The sequence below is a fragment of the Homo sapiens genome, chromosome 6, assembly GCF_000001405.40.
Source record: "Homo sapiens chromosome 6, GRCh38.p14 Primary Assembly".
Lineage (NCBI taxonomy): Eukaryota > Metazoa > Chordata > Mammalia > Primates > Hominidae > Homo > Homo sapiens.
The window spans coordinates 75,708,157-75,720,924 of NC_000006.12; the positions used below are offsets into that span (position 1 = coordinate 75,708,157).

Sequence of the window (12,768 nt, forward strand, 5' to 3'; positions counted from 1 at the left end):
TCAAGCAATTCTCCTGTCTCTCAGCCTCTCAAGTAGCTGGGATTACAGGTGCATGCCACCATGCCCAGCTAGTTTTTGTATTTTTAGTAGAGACAGGGTTTCACCATGTTAGCCAGTCTGGATTATATATCTTTTCAGATTTTTTGCTTCCTTTTCATCCCATCTTGTTTATATTAATATCTTAACACCTTTTTATTAACTTATACCAAAATTTATTTTATCCTGTCTACAATAACTAAAAGTCATGCTTTTCAAATTTTTGAGAGGAAAATAAATAAATAAAAATCAGCTGGGCATAGTGGTGTGCACCTGTAATCCCAGCACTCTGGGAGGCCAAAGCAGGAGGATGGCTTGAGCGTAGGAGTTCAAGGTTACAGCGAGTTCTGATTGCATCACTGGACTCCACCTGGGCAAAAGAGTGAGAGAAATCCTGTCTCTTAAAAAATAAATAAGTGAGGCCAGGCACGGTGGCTCATGCCTGTAATCCCAACACTTTGGGAGGCCGAGGCAGGTGGATCACTTGAGGACAGGAGTTCAAGACCAGCCTGGTCAACATGGCAAAACCCCATCTCTACTAAAAATACAAAAATGCCAGGCATGGTGGTATGTACCTGTAATCCCAGCTACTCAGTAGGCTGAGGCAGGAGAAATCACTCGAACCTGGGAGGCAGAGGTTGCAGTGAGCCGAGATTGTGCCACTGCACTCCAGCCTGGGCGACAGAGCAAGACCCCGTCTCAAAAAATAAAAATAAATAAATAAAATAAAAAATTGAAATGGTAGTAAATCTTACATTTCTTTGAAACATGTTGTGATTAGCTTCTTTCAGCAAAATAGTTGCTTATTATTTGTCTAAAAACAGACCTATTACTTACTTGTAGTTAATGTTCATTTTTGCCCTGAATTATATAATTTTCCACGTTTTCGAAATTTTAATTATAAAATTATGCAGTTGCATTTTCTTTTATGTTCTATGACATGCTGTTTCTGTTATTGGACATAGGTTATTTTCAGACTGTCATAGCTTTCATTACTAAAGATACCTGACTTGCCTAACACAAAAGTACTTATTTGTTTACACATATACATATGTATATGTATTTAAGTATATGTATACTTAATCATATAGCTGATAACTAGTTTTTAAATTTTAATGAATTTTAGCATCTGGGTAGTGGAAACAACTGTAATTGACATGTCAATCCAGGTTTTTAAAATAACTTACTTTATGTTTGTGATATTACACACTAAGGCAGATTTTGTGTTCTTGACTACTGTATCATTAATTAACTACTAGCATTAATTTCAGCCTCATATACTATGAGTGATAGACATGGCCTTTTTTATTATGTAATGTTTCTTATTGATACAGATGGCTTAAGCAAAATCAGACTAAACTATAGCGATGAATCACCTGAAGCTGGTAAAATGCTTGAAGATGAACTCGTCGACTTCTCAGAAGATCAGGATAACCAGGTAAAACTTAATGCTTGGCAAAAAGTTCTAATGTTTTATCTAATTAAAAGTTTTTCTTGCTGAACATGGTGGTGCACACCTGTAGTCCCAGTGACTTGGGAGGCTAAGGCAGAAAGATCTCTTGAGCCTAGGAGTTTGAGTTCAGCCTGGGCAACATAAGGAAACTCCATCTCTTAAAAAAAAATGAAAAAAGGAAAAAGAAAAAGACTTTATAAAGTCTTGTAAAGCAATTTCTTCAACTAGTAATTTATCATGGCTTCTGAATTTGGATCATATCTTAAAAAACAAATTCAGCTTTCAAGTCAGAAGTTGCCAGGATAAATGTATACATGCTGTTGTTGCTGCTACTGTGGTGTGGACTGAACTTTAATGTAATACTGATTAACTCACCCTAACTCAGCTACCACCACCAATACCCACCTTCCTCTTTCAAAGCATTTATGGGTCATACTTAACCTTTAACCTGACTTGACATTCAAGAAGCAAATGTTTAAACCTTCAGTTATATGGTACATGAGTACCAAAAATATTATATTGTTTTCCCACTTTTCCAGTTATTTTTTTTTCTCCTGCCTGATTCGATTTATATGTGTCATGGCAGAAGCAGATAATATTTAATTAAAGTTAATATAGATGAATTCTGACTTTTCCTTGGAGTCTCATTTGCCCTAACAAACAGTATGAACAGCAAGAATAAAGTATATCTGTGAAAATACTTTACTTTTTAGCTTCTGTTAAAAGAGGATTTTATATTGAGAAAAGTTTATAAGAATCCTACAGCATACCATTTTGTTAATTCTCTGACCTTTCATTAGTTGTTAGGACATACTGAGTTGTATAGTAGTGAAGATAGCTTTATACTGCACCATCTTTCCTTTTTGCTTAATCTTCCAGTGAACAAAAGGCATTTTAAGATATCTCTTGGTTTACAATGTATGGCAACTAAATATAGCTTTTCAATCCAACATATATAGGAATTACATTCATGATTTATAATGAGCACTTAGGTACTTTTGGTTATAGCAGTTACCTGTGATGTGAACAAGCTAATGTAACTGCTTTATTATTACTATTATTCCTACTATTGATTATTCCATTCGTAAAGTTGCCAGAAGCTTTCTCAAAGAACAACAATGACCAAAAAAGCCTTGTTTATTTTACATTCAAGAGAATCTACAGAATAAGGACTCAGTGTCCTTAAGTTAGCTTCTCTCAAGTGAGATGGATAAGTGGGTTTCTCAAGGAAAACAGTGTTTCCAAAAACCCTTTAAATATTTCTGATGTGAAAACATTATTCATGTAAAATAACATGTTATTTTATATCCTATTGTGAAATAGCTGTCTTAGCCAACAAACTAAATTTTTGTAAAAATAAACTAAAATCAGAGCAGTAATATTTGGTGGGAGAAGATTCAGTCATAATATATTCAGTCTTAAAGATTTATTCTAGATTGAGTAAATAGATGTAACAATTTGTTATAAACCTCTGGTAGTTTATTTTCCTTAAAATGTCAGTGTTGTAGCATTGGATAATTGGAATTAAGTAACATACCACATCTCTAGTGTCTAATCACCTAAATAGAGAAAAAGTTTTGACAATCATTACAAATATTTTTGTCTCCAGTGTGCTATTTTGTTAGGTTATTAGTTATTTAGATTATATATTTTCAGTATTAACAGTAGGCTGTCTTTTATAGGATGATAGCAGTGACGATGGATTCCTCGCTGATGACAACTGCAGTTCAGAAATAGGACAGTGGCATTTAAAGCCTACTATCTGTAAACAGTAAGCATTAACTGTGTATCTTGAAAACTACATAATTTTTAAGTATGCTCATAAAACATAACAGGACAGTTTTTTTTTTAAATAAATACTTAAGCAAAACTCATAAATGCTGTCAGAGTCAGTGAGGAAACTTGAGGCATGCTATCTAGGGATTAAAATGGGAAGAATGGGTAATCATTTCAGTCCTCCATTTGCCAGTTTCCCCAGCCTCTGCATGCACATGTCCACACACAAATGTTTTGTTTTGTTTAAATTTTTTATGTGTATATTTTTTGAGACAGAGTCTTGCTCTGTCGCCCAGGCTGGAGTGCAGTGGCACGATCCCAGCTCACCACAACCTCCACCTCCCAGGTTCAAGCGATTCTCATGCCTCAGCCTCAGGAATAGCTGGGACTACAGGTGCGTGCCACCATGCCTGGCTAAGTTTTGAATTTTTAGTAGAGATGGGGTTTTGCCATGTTGGCAAGACTGATCTCAAACTCCTGGCCTCAAGTGATCCGCCCCTCTGAGCCTTCCAAATTGCTGGGATTACAGGCGTGACCCATCGCGCCCGGCCACAAGTTTTGATAGTGAACCACTATTCCTTTTTACCTACAATGTTTTGGAGCAGAAATCACTATATATCAAAACAGTAACATGGGGTTGGAGTTTACACTGATTCCTTAGCTACTCTTTGAAGGCTGTGGAGTAACCCAAGGCAGACGTAAGAGACATGTTCCAACTGAGAACTCCAAATAAGGGTGAGTCAGTTTTGCTTTTCAGAAGTACGTGTTTCTTCTGAGATGCTGAACTTCTTAGGTGAAGTATTACCTATTTCTAGGTTTAATCTCCTTTGACTTTTTTTTATAGAAAATGTTGACAGAAACTCTATTAAGAGACTTTGAAAATGCAGCATCATTCTACAGAAAAATAGAGACCTAGGGTAGTTAAACAATCTGCTCCAAACTTTATAAAATTTTAGCAGGAAGAAGCTAGATCACTTCCAGACACAGTGGGTCACACTTTGTGCTAGCACTTCTGAAGACCAAAGCAGGAGGACCGCATGAGGCCAGGAGTGCAAGACCAGCTTGTGCAACACAGTGAGACGCCATCTCTGGAAAAAGTTAAAAAAAAAAAATAATAGCCAACTGTGGTGGCTAAAAAATAACCTAGATTTTTTTTAACATTTGAGGAGTTTGGGCTCTACATTAGACTTCCTTACTTGAGTTTACAACATAACTTTACAGAATTAAAATACTGAAAGTTGAATCTTCAGCCATCAATATTTATATACAGAGTTATATGGAGTGTTCTACAGAGTGTTCTGAAGTGGAATCTTGAAAAAAAAAAGTTCTAAACTAATTATTTCATGTGATGATTACCTGTTTTGTTATCTACAATAAGTTTTAGTTAAAAATGAGATTTTTGGTTGGGCGCAGTAGCACATGCCTATAATCCCAGCACTTTGGAAGGCTGAGGTGGGCAGATAGCTTGAGCCCAGGAGTTCTATACCAGCCTGGGCAACATGGAAAAACCCATCTCTACAAAAAAAAATACAAAAATTAGCTGAGTGTGGTCACATATGCCTGTAGTTACAGCTCCTCAGGAGGCTGAGTTGGGAGGATCACCTGCGCTCAGGACATTGAAGCTGCAGTGAGCTGTTATTACGCTGCTTCACATGGTGACAGAGTGAGACCCTGCCTGAAAAAAATGGGCCGAGGTTGGGGGGATTATTTTCTTTATACTTTTTCATGGTCCTTTTGTTGATTTTGGAATATGGGGATGTTCAATTTTTCAGAATTGTTTTGACTTTTTACTAATTTTGAAGTACTTTTAGAAACCAACTACAGAATTTTAGTATAAAATATAGCTAAGATATGGTTAAGTTAATATTCTATAATTCAATATTTAATATATCCATAGATATTTAAGTATTATTAGATTATAAGGTTCGTATGTGTCTATAAGGTTCATTTTTTTTCCCTCAGTAGTACTGAGTCATACAAAGGGGATTTTGAAGGTTTTAAATTTGATTGTTTATAATATGCCACTTTTAATCCTTTTATGCATTTGTAATATTATGAAGTATTCGACTTTTGGTCATTTTTACCCTGCAGACCTTGTATCCTACTTATGGACTCACTCCGAGGCCCTTCTCGGTCAAATGTTGTCAAAATTTTAAGAGAGTAAGTTCACACTTTATTTCGTATTCTGATGGGGATGAAGAACTATGTATATTTATATATGTGTGTATTCTTAATATATATGAATTATTGCAGGTATTTAGAAGTGGAATGGGAAGTTAAAAAAGGAAGCAAAAGAAGTTTTTCCAAAGATGTTATGAAGGGCTCTAATCCAAAAGTACCACAGCAAAACAACTTCAGTGACTGTGGTGTATATGTATTGCAGTATGTAGAGAGCTTTTTTGAGGTGGGTTTCAATTTGTTGGATCTGCTATAATAAATAATAAAATAGTGCATTTGACTTTACCTTAGTAAAAAACACAATAAGCAAATATTTTAAAGAGTTTCAAAATTATTGTTTCAAAAATTATTCCATGGAGCAAAAACTTCTAAATGGAAGAACCTTCAAGGCATAAAAATAGTATATTTACAGTTCATCAAATCCAAGGCTTGTTGAGCTCATTCTATCACTGAACAATCAACCTGCCCTCTCTACTAGCTCTTGCCACCTTAAGAAATCTCTCCCATGATTCACACTGCCTCTTTTAGCCTCTTTTCTCCTCTTCATAGATACATTTCTTAAGAAGTGTTTATATTCACTCTCTAATTCTACAGATTCTACTTCTCAAATCTCTAAAATCTGGCTTTATCCTTAACCTTATGTTAAAATTGCTCTTGACTTTCCAGCACCCTTTGACAGTGTCAACCATTTCTTCCTCACTCTCTTGCTTTGACTTCAGAGGTACAGTACCACACATAACCTCTCTTGGATATTCTTTACTCTGATCTTGGCTCCTATCTTCATCCACCATACAGTAGATGACCACTAGGTTCTGTGAATTGTGTCATTTAATGTCAGATAGATTTACTTGTTTATCGTCGAGTGTCGCTATTCTGAACTGCTATACCAATCTCTAACAGATTCCTATGCCTCCTGCCTTCTGGTTTTCATGGTTGTTTCCCAAAAACATAAATCTAATCCTGTTACTTTCCTGCTTTAAATCTTATAGTGGCTTCCTGTGGCTGTTGATTTACAGACCAAAATCTTTCACATGATTGATAAGCACCTATGTGATCTGACCCCCTATTTAAGCTTCTAGCCTCATTTTCCCACCATTTTCACTCTAGCTTTAATACAACAGCCAGCCACCTGAATGCCATTGTTTCATGTTCTTTCTTGCCTCTAGGCCTTGATTCATATTTCCTAACCTGGAATACTTTTTTGTTGCTTCTATTATACCTTGTCTGTCTAACATGTATTCATTCTTCAGGTCTTAGCCTAAACATCACTTCCTCTTGGAATTGCATAAAACCCCAGATATGTATTTTCACAGTACTCTATACTTCTGTCATAATACTTGCCATATTTCTTGTTTTAATTGTTGAATTACCTGTCTTTCTAAACTGGAGCTGGCAAACTTGTTAATAAAGTAGTAAATACATTAGGCTTTGCAACTGTGCAGTCTCTATTGCCTCTTAGTTCTGCTGTGGTCCAGTGAAAGCATCTGCAGACCATATGTAAATGAGTTAGTGTGGCTGTGTTCCAATAAAACTTTATTACAGAAACAGGTGGTGGGCAGAATTTGGTCCACTGGCAAACCCTGATCTAGACTATAAGATCTATGATAGAAACTGTGTCTTGTATCTCCAATACCTAACACAGTACTTGGCATGTGATAGATAATACAGAAATACATATTGAATGCGTTGTTGGGTTTTCTTATTTTTAACTTCGGAATGTTTCTGTGATTGAAATGAAAGGTTATTTATTACAGTTTTCTAATACGCATTTAATTGTATTTTCAGAATCCAATTCTCAGTTTTGAACTACCTATGAATTTGGCAAACTGGTTTCCTCCACCAAGAATGAGAACAAAAAGAGAAGAAATCCGAAACATAATTCTGAAGCTACAGGAAGATCAGAGCAAAGAGAAAAGAAAGCATAAGGACACTTACTCAACAGAAGCACCTTTAGGCGAAGGAACAGAACAATATGTCAATAGTATCTCAGATTGACCATTTCTGTTACTTGTCATTTCTACTTTCAGAAACTAAATGACTTTCAAATTTGGGTATAGACAATAAAGAACTGAAGTGCTCACTACTCAGTGATTTGGAAATTTTGATGCTTGTATAAATGTCAGATAATTAATTTCCAAAGGCGTATGTATTAAGTAAAAGTCTGTAAATATGTTAATGAGGCCAATTTTTCCAGCATTTATAATTATTTTTTTCACTTGTTAGGAAGCTTTTGTTATGTATTTTCTGTTAATAGTACCTAAAATTGCAACTTCTAAACACAAATAAAAAGAAAATATTTATAGGAGGAAATGATTAATTTGATATTCTTTAGTGAACTTGTTTAATTCCTCAGTGGGTGTGACATATTTCATGGGAATATTCAAATATCTATGGTAATATTTTGACCCTTTATATTTGTTCTAAAATAAGTCAAAATGTGAAAATAATATTAAATCTAAGATATTTTGAACTAAGCATCTTTATATGCTTGTGTAACAGGAACAAAGTAACAGCCTTTCAATTCATATACTGCCTTGTGTTCAGTGAACCCAAGAAATGTAATAAATATTTGTAATTTTACACAAATATTTAAGAGGAAAGAGTATTAAGAGCAATTCAAAAAAAGTAACCTTATACTACTAAAAAAAAAATTCTTGCATATATTATCATCAAATGCATTTTTGAAGACATCAAAGACTCAGGTTAAAACTATTTTGGTAAGTGCAGCTTGAATTTCAAATATCCCGTGTTACCTTTCTCTATTACAGCTTAAAGTATGCTACAATCTGTGTCATATAGTTAATTGATAAGCATTTTTAATCTGTGTAAACACAGGAATTTAAATAGGAATTTACTATTTTTTTATAAAGCTTTTGCTATTTTTTCATTGCTCATTTTGTTCTTATTATTTTGATAAAGTATCAGACTTTTTGCTTGAGTTCTTCAGTGTAAATTATTTTTTACATGTAAAAGTACTGTATTCAACCAGTTGCATAATACAGCAAAAATCTTTGAATTCCCCTTTAAAATAACTAAAATTTGATGGTTTCCATGACAGATTTATAGCACATATAGGGATCTTGCATGTATCTGCAGAAACTTCATTATTTTTCAAATGAAATGGTGTATACTTCTTTCAAATGAACTTTGAGACTTGAAACATATTTTAGTCATTTTTTGTTAAATATTGAATTTTTAAATACACATATATCAAAAATAGTTGAGAATAAAAAGAAAGCCTAATCATCAGCAATTATTTTATTTTTAATTTGGCCATCTCTGACATTGCAGTCAATATCTTAGGGTATTTTCTTGAATTTAATAAAGTCCCATGGGTGGGTTCAGGGTGAATGGGAGTATTAACAACAACCAAAAAATATCTATTGAGACACAGTAGAGTCTCAGTAAGAGAAATATTAAAATGTAAGAAAGGTCACCATTAGTGATATCAACTGTAGTTTGTTACTTTGAACTATATTTCTGATTAACTCTTTATAGTAATAACTTAGAGCTGTTAGCTCAGATATCTTAATTAGCTCATATGAAAAACAAGTTTAATTTTATTATTTACTGAACATGGCAAAATGCTTTTCAATCTATAATAAAACTGGGATAAAAAATTGAAGTTGTTTTTTTTAAAACCTAATAGCAATAAGCAAAATTGGCATACATAATTTTTTTAATGAACTATATTTTGTCAGAATCTGAAGGTACTGAAAAACTATTCTAAAATGCCTACTTGTTTTTGCATTAATTTGTAATGCTTACATTTTGCACCCTTAGATAATGTTTGATAAGATAAAAATATAATTTATCCCTTGTACCAACTCAAGTCAATCAGATTTTAACATGAAAAATATAGATTAATGTATGTCAGCTTTCTAGAGGTAGAATACTCAGCTATTTGATGGCATTTTTCCCACCCCATGTGAAATTTTATTTTTGGAAGTTATGCTAGTGACATTGCAATATATATTGAAATCTTCGGAGGCTGCCAGGTTGAGCTTCAAAACTAGACTTGAGAATCTTTCGTGTATATGCACATTCACTTGATAATTGTGTATTCTATGTAGTTTAAAGTGGGATCAAGCCTTTTAAAATGTGTTATTAGTACTTAGAAGTTGTAAAACAGAACTTATAGAGGTTTGTTACTAGACACTGAAACTGCATGACAAGTATCTGGTGTCTTAACTAATTAGATAGATCTGTTGTATTGGTTTTCTTGTTGGATAGAATAACAGTTAATCATTTTTAGAAGAGTTTTAGATTACTTGCCATAAAATTTGTATGTCTCAGCTCTTGTTGGTTTAGGAGCAGAAGTGGTGTTTAGTCCCTTCCCGTTAATGTTGCTGTGCTACTTCAGACAGCTGAAAACTTAATGGTATTATTTCAAGTTCACATAACCCTAAAAAAGGTTTTCTTTGTGTAGTAACTTGTGCTTAAACTTTTAGTCAATTAAATGTAGGAGGTTTTATTTGAAAACATAAAATGATTCTCTAAATTACATCTTGTTTTAAGCCACCAAAATGAATGCAGTAATTTTTCTTTAAAAAAATGATCTCTGAAAACTGTGAGACAATGTAAAAAGAATAAGTTTTAATTCCCCCAAAATCAAAAATTGTACTTAAAATCTCAGACAATTCACTGAACAGGAATAATAAAGAACATATTTTAATATATAATATGACCAAGAGTTTGGTGGAGCAAAGCGACTGGAATATAACAATGGAAGGGAATACCTTGGTCAGAAGAAACAACTCTTAAGACTCAGTGTAGTGCTGTTTGTCTAGAAGAGATACAGATAACAAGGCTGCTCTTTAGATAACTGTAAGGACAAAAGGAGAGGGAGATTATTGTTAAGGTGAACTACAGGCTGTCTAGTCAAGTGGACGTAAGTAAATAGTTGAAGACCAAGTGCAGAGAGGCAAAACTAGACTGTATCTACTAAGAAATGTGCTAAAATACTCCAACAGGGATTTCTGGTACATTTGTCATTTCCTACTCAGGAAGAAGAAAATGGGTTATGAACACTGCTATTCCAAAACTTATTACCTGTAGAGGGAGAATTGGTTGATTAAGTGAAAGCAATGTGGATTATGGGGGAAAGTAGCCCAGCCCTACCATCTTAATTCTTAGAAGCCAGATCAAGGAATAGTGCTAGCGTTTCCTAAAATACCATTAAGGAAACCAGAGTACAATGTACTTAGAGAAAGATGCCATCGACTCGTGGCCTAAAATACTCATAAAAGTTAAAAGCATAGCGGTCTTTATTGTCTTCATTACAAATGATTATGGTTAAATTGTCCTTAGTGGACATGATTACAGTGAGAAGGATGGTACCCAAAATCAGGATTTTTTTTTTTCTTTTTTGAGACAGGGTCTCACTCTATCAACCAGGCTGGAGTACAGTGGCACGGTCTTGGTTCACTGCAACTTCCACCTCCCTGGCTCAGGCCATTCTCCCACTTCATCTTCCCGAGTAGCTGGGACTACAGGCACATGTCACAAAACTAGGATTTTTATCTAAATGTGTATTAAAATCATCCAAGGAGCTTTACAAACTATAAGAATTTCCCAGTTAGTTCTGGTGCACACCTCCTGTGGCAAGCCACTGATTTGAAAGGATAAGTATTTGTCTCTGGTGGCTTTCTAGTTGCTGGTCCCAAAGGTAAGTGAGGCTTGTCTGCATTTTCTTCTCACCAGTGCTTTAAGATACGCTTTAAGTGCTTGCCTCAAATTCCCATTGAGAACTTGATTGAGGAGGTCGTGCTGTTACTAAGCCTTGAGAAATTAAAGTACAAGCGGAGTATCTCTTATCTGAAATGCTTCAGACCAGAGGTGTTTCAGACTTTTTTGTATTTTAGAGTGTTTGTATTCATACTGTTGAGCATTCCAAATCTGAAATCTGAAATGCTCCAAGGAGCATTTCTTTTGTGTGTCGTATCGGTGCTCAAAATGTTTCAAATGTTCAGATTTGAGATGCTCAACCTATATTAAACTAGTCATAGGTTAGAGACTGGCAAATGTCCTGATTTTCAAAGGGAAAAAGTAGATTCTGCAAATTATAAAGTAGTTCTTGATAAGACTCTAAGATGAATTATCAAAAGACTGGTTTATGAACTCCTAAAGCAGGGGTCACCAGGATCATATCGTGGGATCATGGGACCGCTAACAGCAAGTTTGTTATATATAATTTTTTTTTATACCGAATCCTGCTCTATCACCCAGGCTGAAGCACAGTGGCACGATCTTGGCTCACTGCAGCCTCAAACTCCTGGGCTCAAGCAATGTTCCTGCCTTAGCCTCCTGAGTAGCTGGGACTACAGGTGTATGCCACCACACCTGGCTAATGTTTTGTATTTTTTTTTTTTTTTTTTTTTGTAGAGACCGGGTTTCATCATGTTGCCCAGGCTGGTCTCGAACTCCTGGATTCAAGTGATCCAACTGCCTCAGCCTCCCATAGTGCTGGGACTACAGGCATGAGCCACTGTGCCCAGCCTGTTTAATATTTTTAATGGGATTCTGGACAAGCTAATGTGTAGAATGCAGATAGACCATGAATTCTCAAAGTGTGTTTGATAACTTTGTTTTCATAGAATAGATTATGTGGTCATTTAAATTTAGAAAACAGTTTAAGCAGGTCTCCTCACAGGACTTCTTGGAGTCTTTAATAGGCTAAGGTGCAGAACACAGCATTACTGTAGAATTTGGCCATATCCTCTCTCTCCTGGTAGAGAGATAAATGCTTCATGATAAATGCTACCCATCAGAAAACATAGTTTCAACTATTGGGGGTGTTTGTGAACTGACCTTTGATAGAAGATGCTTTTAAAATTGATTTGAGGTTTTTTTTTTTTTTTACACTTTATTAATAGTTGGGTATATATATGATTTGGAAACTTGAAAATATGTGACCAGTGTCTTAGGGAAATGAAGTTTAATGAGAATTTTTCTTTAATCATGATGAAAATAACCATTATGAAAAAATTACAAATACTTTTTATACAAGTGGGTTATTCTAGAAAAAAAGCAAATTTAGTGATACTAATCTTTTGTAAGGTTATCAAATCCCCTAAATTCCTCATATACAAGTAGCAATTGTGTAAAAATATGAAAGTGTATTGAAAGGTTATCTTGAGGCTTTTCCTTCTGTTTATATCTGAACTACTTAACTGCTAGATTAAACCCCCAACTTCCACTCAGTTATCTTTTATTTTAGAATTAAACTGCAATAGGCAAACTTTCTACCTAGAAGCATTTTTTTCTTCTAAGGAAATCTGTGCGCCGGCTGGGCGCGGTGGCTCACACCTGTAATCCCAGCACTT

The 12,768-nt window shown here is 34.7% G+C and overlaps 1 protein-coding gene across 2 annotated transcripts in view; it reads left to right on the forward strand.

Moving 5' to 3' along the window:
- The window catches only part of SENP6 (SUMO specific peptidase 6), a 116,402-nt gene extending 106,277 nt beyond the window's left edge, over window positions 1-10,125 (forward strand). For both annotated transcript variants that reach the window (NM_015571.4, NM_001100409.3), the window contains 5 exons: window positions 1,371-1,474; window positions 3,172-3,260; window positions 5,357-5,425; window positions 5,519-5,669; window positions 7,229-10,125. In NM_015571.4, coding sequence (NP_056386.2) covers window positions 1,371-1,474; window positions 3,172-3,260; window positions 5,357-5,425; window positions 5,519-5,669; window positions 7,229-7,438 — 623 coding nt within the window. In that variant the 3' untranslated portion in view covers window positions 7,439-10,125. The remainder of the gene's footprint in view (window positions 1-1,370; window positions 1,475-3,171; window positions 3,261-5,356; window positions 5,426-5,518; window positions 5,670-7,228) is intronic.
- Window positions 10,126-12,768: the final 2,643 nt, after the last annotated feature.